The 23,801-nt window shown below is 40.9% G+C and overlaps 1 protein-coding gene across 2 annotated transcripts in view, besides 1 other annotated feature; it reads right to left on the reverse strand.

The window, feature by feature from the left end:
- SHC4 (SHC adaptor protein 4) overlaps positions 1-23,801 on the reverse strand; it is a 140,179-nt gene that overhangs the window by 78,529 nt on the left and 37,849 nt on the right. For both annotated transcript variants that reach the window (NM_203349.4, XM_005254375.4), the window contains exon 2: positions 22,610-22,680. In NM_203349.4, the coding sequence (NP_976224.3) occupies positions 22,610-22,680 (71 nt within the window). The remainder of the gene's footprint in view (positions 1-22,609; positions 22,681-23,801) is intronic.
- Positions 10,510-11,709: an enhancer, noted in NCBI's record as "MED14-independent group 3 enhancer chr15:49204976-49206175 (GRCh37/hg19 assembly coordinates)". NCBI's record gives its function as "activates an origin of replication core promoter dependent on BRD2, BRD4, P300/CBP and CDK7 cofactors, and independent of MED14, by STARR-seq in HCT116 cells {active_cell/tissue: HCT116}" and the evidence as "EXISTENCE:reporter gene assay evidence [ECO:0000049][PMID:35650434]".

The following is a 23,801-nucleotide window of genomic DNA, read 5'->3' on the forward strand; positions in this document are numbered from 1 at the left end:
CTCTGTGTTATAACTGGAATGCTATAGTTAATATGTTATATAGTAGGTCAAATTATGTCTATCATGTGTATAGTAACGGATGGTATAAGTTTCTATAAAGGCAGAATACATGTCTGGCTTTCTTCAGATATTGCATGGTACCTAGTAGGCTGCCTTGGAAATACAATGTATTCAACATACAAATGTTAGGTAGTGCTATGTCATCAAAACAAAGTGTAACCCTTGTCTCCCTATATAAATCCAATCCCCCTTCAGGACAGAGGTACTCATTCCTCCAGTTGCTGGGATGCTCACTTCTCATGGATCACAGCTGAGTTCCTTACACAGAAATTGTGCTCTCTAGGGGAAGTTGCCCTGCCCATGTTATGACCCCTCCCCAGCAGCAGCAGGCATCCAACGACCTGACTGGTCAATATGGGGTTCCAAGGCCTGGTCCCCGTACCTCAATATGGGGTGACTCTGAAGTGCCATCCTAGCTCCAGAACTGCCCATGGAGTCTGCTGTGACTTCATTGCTTTTCAGCCTCTCCCTCTGCCAGGCCCTGCTTCCCTTACTCCCTTGACAGTTGATTTCAAGAGCCCTCCTAGTAAACCTTTTGCATTCAACTCTCCATCTCAGAACATGTTTCAATATCCAGCCTGAGACGTGCTAACAAGCTGCTGCCAGAGTTATGCCCCCTTAAACTTGCATACACTTAACTAGATGATGTCTTTCAAGAACCTATTTTGTCACAGACAACAGTGAAAAAAATCATTTTCAGAGAATTTCTCATAAGAGACACAGATGATCTGGATCAAAAACACCCATTTTTTAATTGTTCAAACATACACTACAGTACACATTTCCTAAAGTAAGTGCAGCTCTCAAAAACTGCAACTCAATCACATATAATTAAAGGGACCAGAGCTGTGCACTTACTCTACAAGGCATTTCTCAGCTTCCCTACTGAGAACACCAGCAGGAAATGGAATAAATCTGCCTGGCAGGTAGAGAGATGCACCAACTGTCCTGCATTTACTTTGGCCACAAAGCTCTCCTTTTACCAATGAAAAGACTATCTCTGGATGAGATTAGTTTTTGATGAGTTTTGGGTGCCTCCCGTCTAGCTCACTCTTCCCAAAAGGAATTATATCATTTTTTTTCTAGCTATTTAGGATGTAGCATAGTTAAAACTCACTGTTCTCACATTCCCTGATATTCCCATTTTCCTTTCTTAAAAGCAAAAACAAAACAATTAAAACTTGCAGATGCTTTGGGGGACTTTCTGGGGAACCACCTGCTCAAAAATAAGGAGCCTCCATGTAATCTGTGGTCCAAATTACGTGGAGACCTCATTTTAAAATCACTGGATAGGCTTCCCTTGCACATGCAGGCCTCAAAGTGCAGTCCTCGGACCAGCAGCATTAGCATCGCCTGGAACTCATTAGATATGCAAATTATTGAATCAAAAAACTCTGGGGCTGGGGTCCAATATTACGTGTTTGTTTGTTTGTTTGTTTCAGAGACAAGGGCTCACTATGTTGCCCAGGCTGGAGTGGAGTGGCTATTCACAAGTATGTGATTATCACACGCTACAGCCTCAAACTCCTGAGCTCAAGTGATCCTCCCATCTAAGCCTCCCAAGTAGTGGGGACTACAGGTGCATGCCACCACCCCCAGCTAACATTCTCTGTTTTAAGAAGCCTTTGCATACTAAAGTTTGAGAACTACTATCTCACACATTTTTTTTCTCCTTAGAAATCACAAAAGGACATTAAAGTATCTTTTCCTACAGATTTATGAGTATCTTTATGAAGACCTTCCAGAGAGAATTCACAAAAAAGGAATCTGGCATCTTAAACCCAGGATTAAACATTTCCTTATTCTGACCCTTCTGGCTTTCAGCACTTCCCCAAGATTTGTTCCTTAAAATTATTCCACTTTGGTTGACCCATAATGCACAAGAGGCAGGGCAGATCTGATTTCCAGTTCTACCACCTATTGACTTGCTAGATGACCTTGGTAAATTTTTTAATTTCTCTAAGTCTCAATATTCTTATGGACAAAACAGGGTTAATAGTAATATCTATTTTATAAATGTTAAATTTTGTGATGACAAAGTTGATAAGTCGCTATAAATTAATAATAAACTGCTATTTCAACAGCCTGCTAATAGATGAAACCATGTTTGATCTCTTCAACTAGAAAGAGGTTAAAGCTCATCCAGTTCCACATGATTGAGAAATCCTTCCCTTCATCTGAATCAACTTGTGGACCCCAAGGCTGTCTGAACCAAATGAGTATCTTCATGAAATTTATTTTTATTCCTTTGTTCAAAAATATACCTGGCTGGGCACAGTGGCTCACACCTGTAATCCCAGCACTTTGGGAGGCTAAGGTGGGAGGACTGCTTGAGGCCTAGAGTTTGAGACCAGCCTGGGCAATATAGCAAGACCTCATCTCCACACACACACACAAAAAAATGTAATTAGCCAAATGTGGTGCTGTATGACTGTGGTCCTAGCTCCTTGGGAGGCTGAGGCAGGAGGATCACTTGAGCCCAGGAGTTTGAGACTGCAAGGAGCTTTGATCATGCCACTGCACTCCAGCCTGGGTTACAGCATCTGGGTTACAGTATGAGATCCTGTCTCTAAACACGACACACACGCACACACACACACACACAGACACAACACACACACACACACACACACACACACACACGGATGGCACCCATAAGCCAAACACTCTCCTGTTGAGCCAGGGACCTGACCTAATTGTCCAAGAGCTTCTTGTTTTGGAATTTGGCCAGGTTTAGCACGTCAAATCCTATGTTTTAGATTCTCTAGGTCTTTTCTGCTTTTCTCTAACCAGCAGTGACCATGGAAAGTTCAAGACCTCCAGGATCATCTCAAGATCTGTGATCCAGGCCTGAGAAGCCTAGAAACCTCTCCGTTATTCGATAAATTATTATCAACCCAACTATGTTCTAGAAACTGTGGCTCTGAATCCTTCCAGCTCCAGGGACTGGGCTTCTGAGGAAAACCTTCAAGCCCAAAAATGATGGATGATGGAGCCCTTGTGGTTGCTCCACTGAAAAAAGACCTTAGGGAAACCAATCCCTTCCAGGCCAGACATCCCCCAGGGCACACTCTGAGCTTTCTCAGGAGGCTGCCATTCAACTGCAGCTTCTGTGCTTCCCAGAACAATGGTTCAAAAGGCCTATTCTTACTTGCATTGTAAAATGATTAAGACTAGAGGCTGGCCACTGTATCTATCAAAATCAAAATTAGAAATCCAGGCTTAAGGAAAGCAAAAAGGGGCCACCAAAGAGAGATACTAGAATGTATTTTCATCTGACTCTGCATGATGAAGAAGGCCTGGGAAGAAATCACTGGAGAAAGCTATTTCATTCAGCAATCAGAGCTAAAAATACACATGCATAGGCTTTCACATTCATGTGTTTTAATCTCTGAATTAATTTGTTTCTCTTCAAACACTTGAAGCCATCTATTACCATCTATATTTCAACATGGACAGATATATAACTATTCTTGCTTAGGCTAGTGAATGTGTATGTATTGCCTGATTGAGGAGCTGTGTTTGTGTAATAATATCTGCACATCTGTATGTTTCTATAGATTTATATGGATAAATTAGCAGGCCCTGCTTTTAGCCACAACATATTTTTAGAAACCACTTCATAATGTAGATCATATTTTCCATGGAAAAGATGCTATAATTGGGAGTTTCATTCCTGACCAAGGACTCCTCAGCAAATGAAATATAGAAACTGCCAACAGCTTGTCATGGAACGAAAACTATGACTATTTTATATACCTCTATAAATATCTAAAACTCTAAAACAATGCCCTAAGTCCTATAAAAGGGGCCCAAATATATACAGTACCTATACATGGAGTCTCAAAGTTTAGAAATGTTCAACAACCACATAAAAATACAGCTCAATTGAACTATGTTCTACAATTAACTCACTGCTATAATAACATCAAACATTTGATTAACAATTTTGCAAATATTAGATTTTAGTAGAGCATATTTAGGGATAATTTAAATAGTCCAAAGAAATTGATCTAATGTCTTCTTTTCCTTTTGAGGTGGAAATCTATTTTTTACTGTATCTACTACCTTCATTTTACAAGCTTCTTTTTCCACCTGATTTTTCTTGTCCTTGTCCTTCCCCCATTTCCCCCTACTCTTCCCTTCTCCTACTCCCCCATCTCATCCCCTTTTCCCTACCCACTCCCCTTCTCAATACAGGATTACCATGGAACTACCATATTGCCACAATACAGTGCTGTCCTGGTTAAAGATGTCTGGTCCAGGGTAAAGCCTCAATCGCCATATTTACTGGAAATTAGTATTTGGAACTAAGAGAACCAGAGATGGGGGTGTCCCTGCACTCCTGCTGCCAAGGCCTCAGAAGACCTGGCCCCTGTCCTTTATTAGTTTGATTGTTTACTGCTCCTCAGGTTCCATGAGCTGCCCCAATATCCTTTCAAGGAATTCCCTTTTTTGCTTAAGCTAGGCAATCATTTTCTGTTACTTAAAACCCAGAAGTAAATATGCCTAGGGCAAGCAGATGAACTGAAAATTATTCCCTCTATCTTAAGGCTCAAATCAAAGCAATTACTGCTCAGACTCAATGACCTACAAAATGTGCCCAACAAGTGGCAAAAGCATGTTACAAATTAATATGCACCACAGGATCTCACTTTAGTTTTTAAACATGCGATTAGAAAAACCATATATCAAACTGTTACTACGGGTTATCTCCAGTGATTTGCCTTTTTTAAAAGTTTATTTTACTTACCAATTTCTACAATAAGCCAGATTTACTTTTCATAATCAGAAAAGGAATGCAAAAAAAAATTAAGAATTAGATATGGCCCAGAGGATTGACCTTACCAATGATAACGGTCATGGTGATGTGTGATTTCTTTCTTTTTTTTTTTTCTTTTCCTTTTTTTTTCGAGACAGAGTTGTGCTCTGTCTCCCAGGCTAGAGTGCAGTGGCGCTAGCTCGGCTCACTGCAACCGCTGCCTCCTGGGTTCAAGCGATTCTCCCCTCAGCCTTCCCAGTAGCTGAGATTACAGGCATGCACCATCATGCCCAGCTAATTTTTGTATTTTTTTTGAAGTCTGTGTTTTTTTTTCCATAAGTTATTGGGGTACAGGTGGTATTTGGTTACACGAGTAAGGTCTTTAGTGGTGGTTTGTGAGATTTCAATGCACTCATCACCCGAGCAGTATACACTGCACCATACTTATAGTCTTCTATCTCTCATCCCCTCCCTCCCTTCCCCCCGATTCCCCAAAGTCCATTGCATCATTCTCATGCCTTTGTGTCCTCATAACTTAGCTCCCACTTATCAGTGAGAACATACGATGTCTGGTTTTCCATTCCTGAGTTACTTCACTTAGAATAATAGTCTCCAGTCTCATCCAGGTCACTGCAAATGCTGTTAATTCATTCCTTTTTATGACTGTGTAGTATTCCATCATATATATATATATACACGGTCATAAAAAGGAATGAATGAATATGTGTGTGTGTGTGTGTGTGTGTGTGTATATATATATATATGTATATGTATGTATATATACCACAGTTTCTTTATCCACTTGTTGATTGATGGGCATTTGGGTTGGTTCCATGATTTTGCAGTTGTGCTGCTATAAACCTGTATATGCAAGTATCTTTTTCGAATAATGACTTATTTTCCTCTGGGTAGATAGAAGGGAAAGTTGAGGCTCAGAGAGGTAAGTGGCCATTCTAAGACCACCAGTAGATACCCAGTAGTGGGATTGCTGGATCAAATGGTAGTTCTACTTTTAGTTCTTTAAGGAATCTCCACACTGTTTTCCATAGTGGCTGTACTAGTTTACATTCCCACCAGCAGTGTAGACGTGTTCCCTCTTCACCACATCCACGCCAACATCTGTTTTTTGATTTTTTGATTATGGCCATTCTTGCAGGAGTGAGGTGGTATTGCATTGTGGCTTTGATTTGCATTTCCCTGATCATTAGTGATGTTGAGCATTTTTTCATATGTTTGTTGGCCATTTGTATATCTTCTTTTGAGGAGTGTCTATTCATGTCCTTAGCCCACTTTTTGATGGGATTGTTTGTTTTCTTTCTTACTAATTTGTTTGAGTTCATTGTAGATTCTGGATATTAGTCCTTTGTCAGATGTATAGATTGTGAAGATTTTCTCCTACTCTGTGGGTTGTCTGTTTACTCTGCTGACTGTTCCTTTTGCCATGCGAAAGCTCTTTAGTTTAATTAGGTCCCAGCTATTTATCTTTGTTTTTATTGCGTTTGCTTTTGGGTTCTTGGTCATGAAATCCTTGCCTAAGCCAAAGTTTAGAAGAGTTTTTCCAATGTTATCTTCTAGAATTTTTATAGTTTCAGGTCTTAGGTTTAAATCCTTAATCCATCTTGAGTTGATTTTTGTATAAGGTGAGTGATGAGGATCCAGTTTCATTCTCCTACATGTGGCTAGCCAGTTATCCCAGCACCATTTGTTGAAAAGGGTGTCCTTTCCCCACTTTATGTTTTTGTTTGCTTTGTTGAAGATCAGTTGGCTGTAAGTATTTGGATTTATTTCTGGGTTTATTCTGTTCCGTTGGTGTATGTGCCTATTTTTATACCAGTACCACACTGTTTTGGTGACTATGGCACTATAGTATCGTTTGAAATCAAGTAATGTGATGCCTCCAGATTTGTTCTTTTTGTTTAGTCTTGCTTTTGCTCTGCTGGCTCTTTTTTCATTGCATAGGAATTTTAGAATTGTTTTTTCTAATTCTGTGAAGAATGATGGTGGTATTTTGATGAGAACTGCATTGAATTTGTAGATTGCTTTTGGCAGTATGGTCATTTTCACAATACTGATTCTGCCCATCCATGAGCATGGGATGTGTTTCCATTTGTTTGTGTCATCTATGATTTCTTTCAGCATTGTTTTGTAGTCTTCCTTGTAGAGGTCTTTTGACTCTTTTGTTAGGTATATTCCTAGGATTTTTTTTTTTTGCACTATTGTAAAAGGGGTTGAGTTCTTGATTTAATTCTCTGCTTGGTCACTGTTGATATATAGAAGACCTACTGATCTGTGAATACATTAATCTTGTATCCAGAAACTTTGCTGAATTCTTTAATCAGTTCTAGGAGCTTTCTGGAGGAGTCTTTAAGGTTTTCAAGGTAAATGATCATATCTCATATCGTCAGCAAGCAGTGACAGTTTGACTTCCTCTTTACTGATTTGGATGCTGTTTATTTCTTTCTCTTGTCTGATTGCTCCGGCTAGGACTTCCACTACTATGTTGAAGAGGAATGGTGAGAGTGGGCATGTTTGTCTTGTTCCAGTTCTCAGAGGGAATGTTTTCAAAGTTTCCCTATTCAGTATTATGTTGGCTGTGGGTTTGTCATAGATGGCTTTTATTAAATTAAGGTGTGTCCTTTGTATGCCAATTTTGCTGAGAGTTTTAATGATAAAGCGTTGCTGGATTTTGACAAATGTCTTTTCTGCATCTATTGAAATGATCGTGTGATTTTTATTTTTAATTTTATTTGTGTGGTGTATCACATTTATTGACTTGTGTATGTTAAACTATCCCGCATCCCTGGTATGAAACCCACTTGATCATGGTGGATTATCTTTTTTGATATGTTGTTGGATTTGGTTAGCTAGTATTTTGTTAAGGAGTTCAGCATCTATGTTCATCAAGGATATTGGTCTGTAGTTTTCTTTTTTGGTTATGTCCTTTTCTGGTTTTGGTATTAGGGTGATGCTGGCTTCATAGAATGAATTAACAAGGTATGCTTCTTTCTCTATATTGTGTAATAATGTCAAAAGGATTGGTACCAACTCTTCTTCAAATGTCTGGTAGAATTCTGCTGTGAATCCATCTGGTCCTGGAGGTTTTTTTTTGTTGTTGGTAATTTTTAAGTTACCATTTCAATCTCGCTGCTTGTTATTGGTCTGTTCGGGGTATCTAATTCTTCCTGATTTAAGCTAGGAGGGTTGTATTTTTCCAGGAATGTATCTATCTCTTCTAGGTTTTCTAGTTTATGTGCGTAAAGGTGCTCATAGTAGCCTTGAATGATCTTTTGTATTTCAGTGGTGTCAGCTGTAATATCTCCTGTTTTGTTTGCTAGTGAGTTGGATTTTCTCTCTTCTTTTCTTGGTTAATCTTGCTAATGGTCTATCAATTTTATTTATCTTTTCAAAGAACCATCTTTTTGTTCATTTATCTTTTGTATTGGTTTTTTTGTTTCTTTGTCTCAATTTCATTTAGTTCTGCTCTGATCTTGGTTATTTCCTTTCTTCTGCTGGGTTTGGGTTTGGTTTGTTCTTGTTTCTCTAGTTCCTTGAGGTGTGACTTTAGATTGTCTGTTTGTGCTCTTTCAGTCTTTTTGATGTAGACATTTATGGCTATGAACTTCCCTCTTAGCACCGCCTTAGCTGTATCCCAGAGGTTTTGATAGATTGTGTCATTATTGTTGTTCAGTTCAAAGAATTTTTAAATTTCCATCTTGATTTCGTTTTTGACCCAAATGCTCATGCAAGAGCAGGTTATTTAATTTCCATGTATTTGCAGGGTTTTGAAGGTTCCTTTTGGAGTTGATTTCCAGTTTTATTCCACTGTGGTCTGAGAGAGTGCTTGATATAATTTCAACTTTCTTAAATTTTTTGAGGCTTGTTTTATGGTCTATCTCATGGTCTATCTTGGAGAAAATTCCATGTGCTGTTGAATAGAATGTGTATTCTGCAGTTGCTGCATGAAATGTTCTGTATATATCTGTTCAGTCCACTTGTTCCAAGATATAGTTTATCCATTGTTTATTTGTTGACGCTCTGTCTTGATGACCTGTCTAGTGCTGTCAGTGGAGTATTGAAGTCTCCCACTATTATTGTGTTGCTGTTTATCTCATTTCTTAGGTCTATTAGTAATTGTTTTATAAATTTGGGAGCTCCAGTGTTAGGTTCATATATGTTTAGGATTGTGCTATTTTCCTGTTGGACAATGCCTTTTACCATTATATAATGTCCCTCATTGTCTCTTTTACTGATGTTGCTTTAAGGTTTATTTTGTCTGATATAAGAATAGCTACCCCTGCTCGCTTTTGGCATCCATTTGCATGAAATGGTTTTTTCCTACCCTACTCGTTACTTTATGTGAGTCCTTACATGTTAGGTGAGTCTCCTAAAGGCAGCAGATATTTGGTTGGTGAGTTCTTATCCATTCTGCAGTTGTGTGTCTTTTAAGTGGAGCATTTAGGCCATTTACATTCAATGTTAGTATTGAAATGTGAGGTTTAGATTGAAGAGCATTCATCGTGCTCTTTGTTGCCTGTGTACTTTGGTTTTTTTTGTTGTTGTTGTTTTTGCTTTTTAACTTGTATTTTTGTTTTATAGGTCCTGTGTGATTTATGCTTTAAAGAAGTTCTGTTTTGATGTGTTTCCAGGATTTGTTTCAAGATTTAGAGCTCTTTTTAGCAGTCCTTGTAGTGGTGATGTGGTAATGGTGAATTCTCTCAGCATTTGTTCGTCTGAAAAAGACTGTATCTTTCCTTCATGTATGATGCTTAGTTTCACAGGATACAAAATTATTGGCTGATAATTGTTTTGTTTGAGGAGGCTGAAGATAGGGCCCCAATCCCTTCTAGCTTGTAGGGTTTCTGCTGAGAAATCTTCTGTTAATCTAATAGGTTTTCCTTTATAGGTTACCTGGTGCTTCTGTCTCACAGCTCTTAAGATTCTTTCCTTCGTCTTAACTTTGACAATGTGCCTAGGCAAAGATGTTTTTGTGATTAATTTCCCAGGTGTTCTTTGTGCTTCTTATATTTGGATGTCTAGGTCTCTAGCAAGACCAGGGAAGTTTTCCTTGATTATTCCCCCAAATATGTCTTCCAAGTTTTGGAATTCTCTTCTTCCTCAGGAACACCAATTATTCTTAGGTTTGGTCATTTAACATAATCCCAGACTTCTTGGAGGCTTCACTCATATTTTCTTATTCTTTTTTCAGTGTCTTGGTTGGATTGGGTTAATTAGAAGACCTTGTCTTCGAGCTCTGAATTTCTTTCTTCTACTTGTTCAATTCTATTGTTGAGACTTTCCAGAGCATTTCACATTTCTAAAAGTGTGTCCACAGTTTCCTGAATTTTTTATTGCTTCTTTTTCTTTAAGCTATCTACTTCCTTGAATATTTCTCTCTTCACTTCTTGTGTCATTTTCTGGATTTCCTTGTATTGGGCTTCACCCTTCTCTGGTCCCTCCCTGATTAGCTTAATAACTAACATCCTGAATTCTTTTTCAGGTAAATCATGGATTTCTTCTTCGTTTGGATCCATTGCTGGTGAACTAGTGTGATTTTTGGGTGGTGTTGAAGAGCCTTGTTTTGTCATATTACCCGGGTTGGTTTTCTGGTTCCTTCTTATTTGGGTAGGCTCCGTCAGAGGGAAGGTCTAGGGCCGAAGGCTGTTGTTCAGATTCTTTTGTCCCACAGGGTGTTCCCTTGATGTAGTTCTCTCCCCCTTTTCCTATGGATGTGGCTTCCTGTGAGCCGAACTGCAGTGATTGTTGTCTCTTCTTGGTCTAGCCACCCAGTGAGTCTACCTGGCTCTGGGCTGGTTCTGGGGGTCGTCTGCACAGAGTCCTGCGATGTGAACTGTCTATGGGTCTCTCAGCTGTGGATACCAGTGCCTGTTCCAGTGGAGGGGGTGGGGTGCAGGGGCGGGTGCAGTGGACTCCATGGGGGTCCTTAGCTTTGGTGGTTTGATGCTCTATTGGGCTGGTTGGCCTCCTGCCAGGAGGTGGCACTTTCCAGAGAGCATCAGCTATAGTAGTATAGAGAGGAGCCCTTAGTGTGTGGGGTCCTAGAACTCCCAAGATTATATGCCCTTTGTCTTCTGCTACCAGGGTGGGTAGGGAAGGACCATCAGGTGGGGGTGGGGCTAGGCATGTCTGAGCTCTGACTCTCCTTGGGCAGGTCTTGATGTGGCTGCTGTGGGGGATGTGGGTGGGGTTCCCAGGTCACTGGAGCTGTGTACCTAGAAGGATTATGGCTTCCTCTGCTGAGTCATGTTGGTTGTCAGGGAAGTCAGGGAAAGCTGGCAGTCACAGGCCTCATCCAGCTCCCATGCAAACCGAAGGTCCGGTTTAACTCCCACCGTGCTCTCCCCAATAGCCCCCAGTCCATTTCTAGATGGAGAGCGACAGGGGCTTGAAAACCTGCCCCAGCTCCAGGCTACCTGCCTCCCAGCTGCAAAAGTAAAGGTCTTGGTTCTTTCCCTACATGTGGAGTCTGAGCACAGGATTTGTGCCCTCCCCCAAGTTCTGGCCAGGAGGCTTCTCACCCCCTTCAAATTGTCACAAAGTTCTACTAGAGAATTCCTTCTCCCTGTGGAGTTTTAACCCCTGCTCCTCTGGTCACCCTCCCGATGGATCCCTGTGGTTCCAGGCAGGAATGACCTGCTAGGGGGCCCAGCGAGCTCCCAGGGCCTTTCTACTGCTTCCTCTACCCTTGGATTTCGTTCAGCTCTCCAAATTGACTCAGCTCCAGGTAAAGTTGGAAACTTCTCCCGCAAACAGATCTTCAGCTTCCCCAGTGGGTGTGTTTGTTCAGGAGAGGAGGGTCTCCCTTTCCCACTTCCGCATCTGGGGCACTCACAGTTTTGGGGGTTCTCCTGGGTCCTGCAGGAGCAATCTGCTTCCTTCAGAGGGTCTGTGGGTCCTCTCGGGATTGCTGGTTTTCAATTCTTGTAGTTTTGGTAGAGACAGGGTTTCACCATGTTGCCCAGGCTGGTCTCACACTCCTGGGCTCAAGGGAGCTGTCTGCCTTGGCCTCCCAAAGTATTGGGATTACAGACATGAGCCACCGCGCCCGGCGCGACATTGTGCGTTTTAAAGACTTGAGCCTTTCGCTTGATTGTCTCCCACATTAGTTCATTCACAGCCCACAAGAACTGTTTCTTAGTTTCAATCCAAAGCAATCTCACTAGGAAACATTAAGTGTGGTAGGGATTTGGAGTGTGAGTACATGGGTTTGAGTCCCTGCAAAACAGCTGTGTGGTCTTAGAATGGCCACTTACCTCTCTGAGCCTCAACTTTCCCTTCTTTAAAAGGGGAAATTACTCCTTTCGAGGTGATTTTGCGGTTGCAGAAGCTCTGTGCAGTGTTAACAAACATTAGCTATTATTAGCTACTCTTTCATCGTCTTATTCTGCCACAGCTCCTCTCTGCCAGTGTGGCTTTTGGTTGGAATTTGCTGTCAAGAAATTAGAAGAGGCCACTACACACTCCTTACCAAATTCTCTTTGCTGTATGACATGCTAGAAACTTAAGCCCCGAAGCCTCGATTATCCTTTTCTTATTTGCTTTTCACCCTTTTTAAAGAATAAAATGTATACAATATTGAATACTTCAGTACTCCAAAAATATAAGTCATCTGGTAACTGCTGTTTTAAATATATATAATAAATATACGTAATACAAAATTTACCATTTTAATAATTTTTAAGCATACAGCTCAGTGGCATTAAGCAGATTCACATTGTTGTGCAACTATCACCGCCATCCATCTCCAGAACAGAACTTTTTCTATCTTCCCCAACTGAAACTCTATAAGCATTAAACAGTAACTCCCCCTACTGCCTGACAGCTACCATTCTACTTCCTGTCTTTGGATTTGACTACTGTAGGTACCCCATATAAGAGGAATTATGCGTATGATTGTATATCTTCTTCAGAGAAACATCTGTTCAAGTCCTCTGCCCATTGTTTCAATAGGGTTCTTTATTTTTTGTTGAGTAATAGGAGTTCTTTACATATTATGGATATTAATCCCTTATCAGATATATGATTTTCAAATATTTTTCCCATTCCGTCGGTTGCCTTAGCAGCTATATTTCTTGACTTTACACCTGTTTATTCAAACAAATAGTAACTATGTGCCTGCTGTGTGAAAGACATTGTGCTAATGACAGAGCAAAAAGGTACAATTGGCTTTCATACCCTCTCTGTCTGCATTTGACTTTGTCATGCTATCAGAACCATTCCCAATTGATTGGAATTTTTTTTTAAATGACTAGATCTTTGAAGGCTTCTAAAAGGAATTTAGTTGGCTATTTCAATTATCTCAAGTATCTGAAAAGTGAGATCTTATATTGGGCAAAACTGGAGAGCAGTGAAACCTGAAACTAAAAGAGGTGGTCACTGTGCACACACTCACATACACAACATCAGACTTCCAGCAAAGGCTTCCTGACATCTGCACGTGTGTGAAAGGAAATCATCCTTCCACTGACACCAGTGCTCGCTGAGGGGAGATCAACTTTGGATGCTATGTTTTATTGCATGGTTTATTGTTCTAATCAGCTGATAATGGCCATGAACCTTGACCCTTGGACAGCAGACCATTGCAGGGGCCTTAACACCCTTTCCTGACCAATGAACAATGCAACCTGTTTTAATCAACCGTGGGCATTCTGCCTTAGCTACAGTGCTTGTTTTCAATCCTTAGTATAATCACTATAAATTAGAACTTTAAAACTCCTGATTTTTTTCTCCTTAGCACTCTTCTCAGTAAATTTTTTCACTGGGGAATGTTCCCTTGTCTGCTAAATTAATAGACTTGGCCTTTTATCCCCCTCTCTGGTGATCTTTATTTCACATGACAAGTGGCTGCAATCCTATTCCTAACTGCAACAAGTCAACACAGAATCCACATACCATATGCTGTTCAACTACTCCAAGGCTTAGCAGAGATACTCTCACTTATCCATGCATTGCCGTAACTAATCCTGTTCTGCAATCCTCAGAAAATTTAGACAAACGCCAGACTGTTTTCAAACATATCTTAATTTAGCTACCTAATATACAGATATTTGACCTCTCCAGAATGCTTTTCCTTCTAGAGTTGACGTTTATTGAAAACCACATGTACAGGACTTTATGTAATTGTTCAGCTGCATCTTGAATCTGCTTTGCAGCTGATGGTTGCTCACACACACACACACACACACACACACACACACACACACACACACCCAGAAGTATGCATTTGTCATTAAAGGCATTTGTCACTGCCTTTAATGTCCTGTTGAAGCCCAATAATAAAAATTTTCAACATAGTGAATGAAATTTGCAGAATCACTGCTCAGGAGCAATAACATACACAGGAAATTAATCCAATTACAATAACTTCTGAATGATGATCTCTGTTTCCTTGTTGCTTTAGCTAGTACCAAATCACCCAGAGAACCTCCTTACTGTCTATAGCATCAGTTCAAAAAAAAAAAAAAACACTACTCAGGGTTTCTTCCTACACAGAATGGAATGGGACAGATACACCACGAGGCACAGGTAGAGATCAGCTAGAGAAAATGAATCCGAAGCCAGGACCTCAAAACGGAGCACTCACCACCCATTCTTTAACAGTTCCCCATTTTCCTTCATAGACCCCCAGGGTGGCAATCACACAAAGGAGGAAAACCCACTCCAAGCCACTGCTTCTTAGTTGCCCAGTAAGCCTGGCTTGGGCAGATCCTGTGCTGGGAGCCTGGCTGATTTTATTACTGAATACAAGTTACATGTGTAAGGCACTAAATATCAGAAAAGTACAGAGTGGTAAGACAGTGATCTGGAGGTCCCTTCTGCCAATGGTGTGCTCCGCCCCTCGGGGTGAATTATGTACTGTGGTGATGAAATAAATGTTCCCTTTGCAATTTCCTTGGGTATCAAAATGTATTCTGTTCTTCAGGGTTGAAAGTCAAGCCCTTTCTCACCAGCTCCACTTACTGGGTTTACCCTGATGTGTCTATTCCTCCTTCAGCGTTTGATGCAGGTTCCCACCTAGACACAAAGAGGTAGCCATCCTTAGAGGAGAAGGAAGATTTTTTTTCTTCTTTACTTGATGTGGATGCTTACTTAAGGGAAGGAAGCTGAGCTTTAAGTTTTAGTGACCTGATTTCTTGTGTGTGTGTGTGTGTGTGTGTGTGTGTGTGTGTGTGTGTGTGTGTGTCAGATTCCTGATTTAGGTCAGGTGTTTTTGTTGTTGTTATTGTTTTATTTTCTTTAACTGTGTTTTTAAAAACATAAGGAATACATTTTTATAGGAAAGTTTAAGTAACAATGTCATTCTTAGCATGATCTTCATTTTCTCTCTTCCCTTGTTTCCTTTGGATACAGTTCCGGACATTTTAAAGACAACTGCGGCTAGGAAACTTTGTTTTCCTAATGATCTTGTTTCTCTTTACTATCAGTAAAAACCTCCTCTTTTGCCCTTTTGCATGAATATTCTATTATTAAAAATGGAGATCTGGTCCAGAATCAGCCAAGGGGATGAATGCCTGGGTGAGAGTTAGTGGAGGAACAACAGTAAAAGCCATTCAAGTGGCTCCCCCAGGGACTAAATCTAGAGTCAAGGTAGGGAAGCAAGATGAGAGCTTTGAAAGGGGTGACATCCAGGGAATGGCTGAGAAAGTCAATGGCCTCTTGTCCTTTTATTTTCCTCTGCTCTATCTGAGTACTTTCTGTGTTCTAAGTCTGTGGATTCAGCCCTCAAATGGTTGGCAGAAAGGTCCCTCTAAAGAAAAGAATTCTGCTCCATCTTTCTCCTTTGTTTCAAAGGCTGACTCTTAATCATGGCTCCTCCTTTATTACCAGGAATTTCATGTTGCTGTCTCCCTGATATTTGGAATCTAAAGATGGTGAAATATTTACAGTGAGTGAGACATCAGCCTCCAGTTGTTTGTATCTGTAGCGGTAATTACTTACACCAGTTTGTCAGCATTCACACCTGAATTATTCTATGTTTGGTGGTATGTCAATGTCTAGAGATAGCTATGATCACACAAAATACAGTTTTTTCTTGTGAAATCCTAACTTGGCCCATGGAAATTTTTTTTGAAAAAACACAACAAAAGATCCCGTCCACCACCCTCCCACCCAACTCCCCCATATGTTAACTGGATGGAAATATTTGATTTGAGTGTGGTGTTAACTGGATGGAAATATTTGATTTGAGTGTGGTGTCCATAGGACATTCTCTCACCTTGACTTTAAACTGGCTCATTCAACAATGTGTGTTTCTCAAGGCCATATGGACCACTTTCTCAACAACCTCTATTTCCCACCCAACCTCCCAAATACTGTTCTTCCTTCTAATTTTTCCTTTTTTGTCATTCTCTCTTCTTTCAACTGCAATGTATTTTTGATGTTCAACCACTATTCAGGTTGTTTTGTTACCGATTGTCTTAGATGTTCTTATTAAACATTACTATTGAATCGTTTCCATTTTTTCTTTAAATTTTTTTATGTTTATAAAGTCTTTTCATTTAGCTCATAGTCCTATTTAGTTCAAGACCTAGAGTTTGAAAGAAGAGTTTCAAAGATCACCCTCTCTTTCAGCAATATTTGAGCTCCTGAGAAAAAAATGTGAAAGTAATTTATTTCCATACAAAACGTTATTTGAAACACCAAGGAATTCACCATTAAAAGGAAGTCAGAGGTGAATTCTGCAATATAATTTTTCTGTTCAGCAAATTTTGATTTTTTGCTAATTCTTTAAAGTGAGAGATAATCTATTTTATATCTTCTCTCTTTTTTTAAATTTACCCTTCTTTGATGGGGTTTTTCCTTCTCCCTTCTGGGTCAGGGCTTCCCAGGTCTGCTGTCACACCCAAGTAGCTGCAAGTCACAGCATTTCAAATTCAACAAGCCCCAGGGAAATAGTTCAAGAAGCTGGGATGGGGACAGGATTTTGAAGCAAGGGACTGATGTCTGGCCCTGGCACTTGGAAATCAGCCTCACTGCTTTCAAGACCTCCCTGGATAAGGTCCCTAGTCTACTGGTGGCTGGAATCTCCAGACTTCAAGTAGGACCACTTGACACCATAGGACATTTTAAAATTTGATCCTCCCCTCCAGTCAGCGTTTCCCTCTCCTGAGTTGACGGTTGAATGTTTTTGCATCCACTCTTGGGAGAAGATGCACACCCTCTCACACTCTTAAAAATTTATTTTAATTTTTTTTTTTTTTTTTTTTGTAGAGATGGGGTCTTGCTCTGTCACCTGGGCTGGAGTGCAGTGGTGTGGTCACAATTCACTGCAGCTTTGACCTTCCAGGCTCAGGTGATCCTCCCACCTTGGCCTATAGCATATCTGGGACTACAGGCTTGCACTACCATGCTTTATTTTTGGTAGAGATGGGATTTCACTCTGTTGCTCAGGCTGGTCTCAAACTCCAAGACTCAAATGATTCTCTCACCTTGGCCTCCCAAAGTGCTGGGACTACAGGTGTGAGCCACCATGCCTGACCTCTCTCACATTTTTATCAAACTCCCTGCCCAAATGTTGCCACCATGGACCCATGATGTCCATGGTCATCTTCCCTCTGCCTTCAGCTCTCTTCTTTCAGATACTTTCATGGCTGGATCCCTTACTTTATTCAGGCCCTAGCTCAAATGTCCTCTCCTTAGATAGGACTTCCTGACCACCAGATCTAAAAGTAAAAGACCATCACACTCGAGCTTCCATAACTGCTTAGAACACAATCAGCCATGCCTGAATCATGTATAGACACATCTACAAGAAACAATATCCAGATACCATACCAGATATCTTCCCCTTGGTGTGTATGTTAGACATAACTGAATCCTCAAAGGAGAGGGGAAAAAAAAAACAGTTCACCTTTTACTATTTACAAAATAATAGGGAAATATAGGCCTACAAGTTCACGGAGTTTGTTTTTTTTTTTTTTTCTGAGACGGAGTCTTGCTCTGTCACCCAGGCTGGAGTGCAGTGGCACGATCTTGGCTCACTGCAAGCTCCGCCTCCCGGGTTCACGCCATTCTCTTGCCTCAGCCTCCTGAGTAGCTGGGACTACAGGCACCTGCCACCACGCCTGGCTAATTTTTTTTTTTTTGTATTTTTAGTAGAGATGGGGTTTCACTGTGTTAGCCAGGATGGTCTCGATCTCCTGACCTCATGATCTGCCCGCCTCGGCCTCCCAAAGTGCTGGGATTACAGGCGTGAGCCACTGCGCCTGGCATGGGAATTCCAATTACCTTCAACTGTGCATGAGCAGGAGCTTTGTAATATTGCACATCTGAGTGATGAATGATCATTCTTGATAAACCCGAATAATGCACTCATTTTAATTTACAAATTCTTAACATTAGTAACTTCCTATATCTTACTTGGTAGGTTTCTAGTTGTATGTAAAAATAAAAATCTACAAATTATTCTGCCTGCCTCAGCCTCCCAAAATGCTGGGATTACAGGCATGAGCCACCGCGCCCGGCCAGAGATTTTTTTAAGTAGATAAAAATAGATAAATGGCTGGGAAAAGGGGGTACCAATTAGTACAAATAGACTGCAGAGCCATCCAGCAATACATATCAAAAGCCTTTAAAACATTTATATTGTTTGACCTAGTGATCCTAATTCTAGAATTTGTCCTTTGGAAATATAATCAAGATATATATATGATGTTAATCACAGCATTACTTATAATGATGAAAAATAGAAGAGGCCAGGCATGGTGGATCATGCCTGTAATCCCAGCACTTTGGAAGTCTGAGGTGGGAGGATCCCATGAGCCCAGAAGTTAAGATCAGCTTGGCCAACATATCGAGACTCTTGTCTCTATATATGAAGAAGAAGAAGGAGGAGAAGGAGAAGGAGAAGAAGGTGAAGAAGAAGGAGAAGGAGGAGGAGGAGGAGGAAGAGGCAGAGGAAGAGAAGAGAATGTTATGCAGTCATTAAAATTTTAGAAAAACAACCCATTTATCTATTGACTGATGGATGAATAGACAAAATGTAGTATAGACGTACAATAGAGAGTAGTATTGAGCCTTAAAAACGAATGAAATTCTGACACATGCTACAAGATGAATTAATCTTGAATACATTGTGCTAAAGGAAATAAGCCAGACAGAAAAGGACAAATACTGTATGTTTCCACTTTTATGAGGTACCTAGACCAGTCAAATCCATAGACACAAAAAGTAGAACAGTGGTTGCCAGGGGCTGGGGAGGAAGAGGAAATGGGAAGTTATCGTTTTTTTTTTTTTTTCCTTTGAGATGGAGTTTTGCTCTTGTTGCCCAGTCTGGAGTGCAATGGTGCAATCTCGGCTCACTGCAACCTCCGCCTCCCGGGTTCAAGCAATTCTCCTGCCTCAGCCTCCCAAGTAGCTGGGATTACAGGTGTGTGCCACAATGCCTGGCTAATTTTGTATTTTTTTAGTAGAAACAGGGTTTCACCATGTTGATCAGGTGATCTCAAATCCCTGACCTCAAGTGATCCATCTGCCTCAGCCTCCCAGTGCTGGGATTACAGGCGTGAGCCACCACGCCTGGCCAGAAGTTACTGTTTAATGAGTACAGAGTTTAATGCGTACAGTTTTTCATCTTCGGGAAGATGAAAAAGTTCTGCAGATGGATGGTGACGATAGTTGCGCAACAATGTGAATGTGCTTAATGCCACTGAACTATACACTTATAAATGATTAAAATAGTAAATCTTGTTATGTGTATTTTACCATGATAAAACATGCTTTAGAATCTTTAGCAACAGGAAATTGCTCAGTATGGGAGACTTAGTATATAATATTGTTCAGATTTTGTGTAAAATTCTTTGTAAGCTCATGTATAGAAAAAATACTGGAAATGGATTTAAAACACAGACTGTTAATAGACACCCTCTCTAGGTAAGATTCTGAGTAATTTTCTCTTTCATACTTTTCTGTACTTTCCAAATCTTCTAAGTAAACATGCAATATTTTATAACTAGAAAATAAAATAAAATTTAAAAACCCGCCACCTAAATCTCTATCCTCATTCCCTGCTTTTTTGATGCAGTAAATAAGCACTTCTTCCTATCTGAAAGTAGATTGCTTATTTACCTGTTTCCTTGCCTATAGTCTGTTTCCCCAGCAACAGTGTAAATTCCATGAGGGTAGAGGCTTTGTCTTATTCACTTGAACAGTTTCAGGAACTTTATGGATACTCCATAAACATTCGAGTGAAAAAGAAAGAATCAATGAATGAATGGGTGAATGAACAGAAGATTAGTCATCCTCAGTGTCTTAGTCCATTCCTGCTGCTATAACAAAATACCCCAGACTGGGTAATGAATAAATAATAGAAATGTATTTCTTAGACTTCTTGAGGCTGAGAAGTCCAAGATCAAGGCACCAGTAGATCTGGTGTGTGATGAAGGCTCACGCTGCTCCTCAGCCAGGTTCTTCTTGCTGCATCCTCACATGCTCCCTTGCACCTTTTATAAGATCACTAATCCCACTCGTGAGGGCTCTGGCCAATGAATTAATCCCCTCCTAAAGGCCCTGCCTCTTGATACTTTCACACTGGGAATTAAGTTTCAATACATAAATGTTGAGGGGACATATTCAGACCATAGCTCTCAGGTTAGGACAGTGGGGATTCCTTTGTCCTGTGCCAACCTGGGGTATCAGCCCTCTTTCTCTCATCTGTAGCCTGCTCAGGATTGGAAGAAAAAATGTCTCAAGATTAAGAATCTTCAAAATGGAGTAAACCCTGAAATATGTCCATCAAAGTAGGGCTAACAGTTTGGAAAGTAGTAGATACCATGTCACTTGAAGAGTAATTGAAGGCACTGAGAATGTGTAAGAGAAGATTTAAAGGGGAGAAGAAATGTAGCTGCTTGCAAATACTGGAAGTGTAGTCAGGTGGAACCATGAATTTATTCAGTAAATATCCAGTGAGCCTCTGCCATGTGCCAGTGACTGACGTAGGTACCAAGAGTACAAAAAACAGGATTATATAATATGTTTGATTCCAGAGGAAATACCAAGGATAGACTGAGAGAGGTTTGGAAAGGCAGATTTGAATGCATCATAAGGCAGAGAGTCTCAATCAGCATTTCCTAAGGCACATTTCATGGAACCCTAGGATGTACATTTCTGTTATACGAGAAAAGGATCCAAGGCCCAATAAAGTTTAGAAAATCTTAAGGTAAGGCTGGGTGTAGTGGCTCACGCCTCAATCCCAGAACTTTGGGAGTCCAAGGCAGGTGGATGACCTGAGGTCAGGAGTTCAAGACCAGCCTGGCCAACATAGTGAAACCCCATCTCTACTAAAAATATGAAATTAGCCGGGTGTGGTGGCGGGCACCTGTAGTCCCGGCTACTCAGGAGGCGGAGGCAGGAGAATTGCTTGAACATGTGAGGTGGAGGTTGCAGTGAGCCAAGATTGCACCACTCCAGCCTGGGAGACAGAGTGAGACTCTGTCTCAAAAAAAAAAAAAAAACAAAAAAGAAAAAAGAAAAAGAAAATTTTGAGGGGTAGAGTTTTTTCAACTATAGCAGCACAGGACTACTCAGTCTTTTTTTTTTTTTTTTTTTTTTATGAGTCAGGGTCTTGCTGTCACCCACACAGGAGTGTATTGGCACAATCATCTCTCACTGAAGCCTTGAACTCCTGGGCTCAAGTGATCCTCCAGCCTCAGCCTCCTGAGTAGCTGGGGCTACTGGCATGTGCTACCGTGCCTGGCTATGTTCTTTTTACTTTTGTAGAGATGGAGTCTCACTATGTTGCCCTGGCTGGTCTCAAACTCTTGGCCTCAAGCAATCCTCCAACCTCAGCCTTCTGAGTTGCTGGGATTACAAGCGTGAGCCACTGCACCAGGCTCAGAGTCTTCAATATACTATTGTATACTGTAGTCTCCTAAAGAGTGATGTGGCTCCTTTCGCTACATTTTTTGACCACAGGATACTTCTTTTTCTAGGCCTAGAATTTCATGGGATGAGCATTAGGGAGAGTTATTCTCTACATGACAATATTCACCTTCAGAACAGGAGGCCTGCAAGCACAGATCTACTGTGGCATGCCCCTGAGACACACCTTGGCACCACATCCAATGGATGCCCAAGTCTTCATTCTGAACCACTCATATCGACCCAGTCCTCTCACCTCATCTCCCTCACTTCACAATTTTTCCAGCTGCCAGTCTGCACTCACTCCTTCTTTCCGTCCTTGCTTTGGGCTTAGCTTTAATGAACCATGCCTTGTATTTCTGCTTCTGACTTGAGCTCCACGTAACAGGGATTCTGATTTCTTCCCCTAAGCTCCCTGGGGTCACCCTGGGTAAAACTTCCCTGATTCCACTGTTCCATCTAGCTCACTGTACATAGAGGAGGGAGACCCAGACAAGGAGTAAGCAGTTTCTCACGTCAGGAAGAGCTTGGGGAAAGCTTGGGCTTTCTCATGTTGAAAGTCTTACTTGGTCTTATTTTCTGCTACTTCCTTGACAGGTCTGATTCTGTAATGGCTTCCTGCCAGGCATAATTTTAAATACTTTTGGTACCTGGGAAACCAGCTATTTCTGTAGACTGTATCATCTTATTCATCCTCACATGAAACACAGATGCACTGCCACACAGTTGAGAAATCTTTCACACGATGAGATCAAGCCACTCATTGAAGGTCACTGGGCGAGCCTTCTACACTCCAGTCGCGTGAATAAAAGTGCATAATGAATTGGAAGGTTTGCATAAAATTCCTGTGGGAGAAATTATTGTGACTTTAAACCATACTCCTCAAAGCCCCTCCCATTTTTGGCTTCTTACCTTGTAACTTGGGTTCTCATTCCAAAATCCAGTGATCTCATTGATTGCAGCACTTCAACACAGCCCATGTACTACAATAAGAAGAAAAAAAAGAAGAAGTAGGACAAAAATTCCAAGAAGCTGTCTCTTAGCTTCACGGCAACTTCCTGGGAAGCACCTAAAATCAGCTTCTGCTATCAAGTTACATTTGCACCCTCTGCCTACAACTGTTATTTCTGACTGTTAATGGACACATGCCTAAAGGTTCAATTCAGTTACAAAACACCAGTTAAATCCAAACCATAATATAGATAATGCAAGTAACAAAGACAAATGTGGGTTCAGTGGTTAAGATCATGGGCTCTGGGGCCAGATCATGTGAATTTGCATCCTGGCTCTGCTACTTCTTAGTTATGGAACCTGAACCTCAGCAAGTTAACTTCTGTGCCTCACAGTTTTGTCATTGGTAAAATGGGGATACAATAGGAATTGTTAGGAGAGTGAAATTATTTCCTACATATAAATAAAGCTTTTAGAACAACGCCTGGTACATACAAAGGCCTAAATAGTAGAGGAAGCAAAAATAAATGTGAGATAGAGAATACAGGAATGTCAAATCTTCTAAGTGGATAGAACAAGCATATAAATGCATAGAATACCAAACTTAGTAATATAAGATCTTATCATCCTTTGCAGCTGATTTAAATATTAAGGGGGTTCTTGACAGGACAAAAGTCATGTGCTGCATCAGTGATTAGTATGGTTAGCTCGAACACCATGTATTGCAAAGGGAATTGTGACTTATAAAGCTGAAAGATGGTTTATATTTAGTGTGGCAGCAGTGAGGATCCATGGCAGGCGTGATGCGATTAGATCTGTGTTGGAGGAGGCTTAAGTCAGCGGCAGTATGAAGGTGGGTTAATGGTGAGGGAATAAGTTAGGATGACCCTGTGGAGAGGGAAGTAACGACAGCCCACACTGAAGAGGGATGGTGTCAATAGGAAGGACGGGACAGATTCAAGTGACATCATGGAAACAGATACTACAGAATTCGGCAGTTGATTTGATACGGAGAACAAGAGAGAAGGATGAGTCAAGGATGACTCACTCAGATGTTTCCAGCCAGGGTAGCAGAGGGAACAGTGATGCCATCAACAGAAACAGGAAAGCCAGGAGAAGGGAAGATGATGAATTGGTTTGGGAGCTGTTGACT

The sequence above is a fragment of the Homo sapiens genome, chromosome 15 (genome assembly GCF_000001405.40).
Source record: "Homo sapiens chromosome 15, GRCh38.p14 Primary Assembly".
Taxonomy (NCBI): Eukaryota; Metazoa; Chordata; class Mammalia; order Primates; family Hominidae; genus Homo; species Homo sapiens.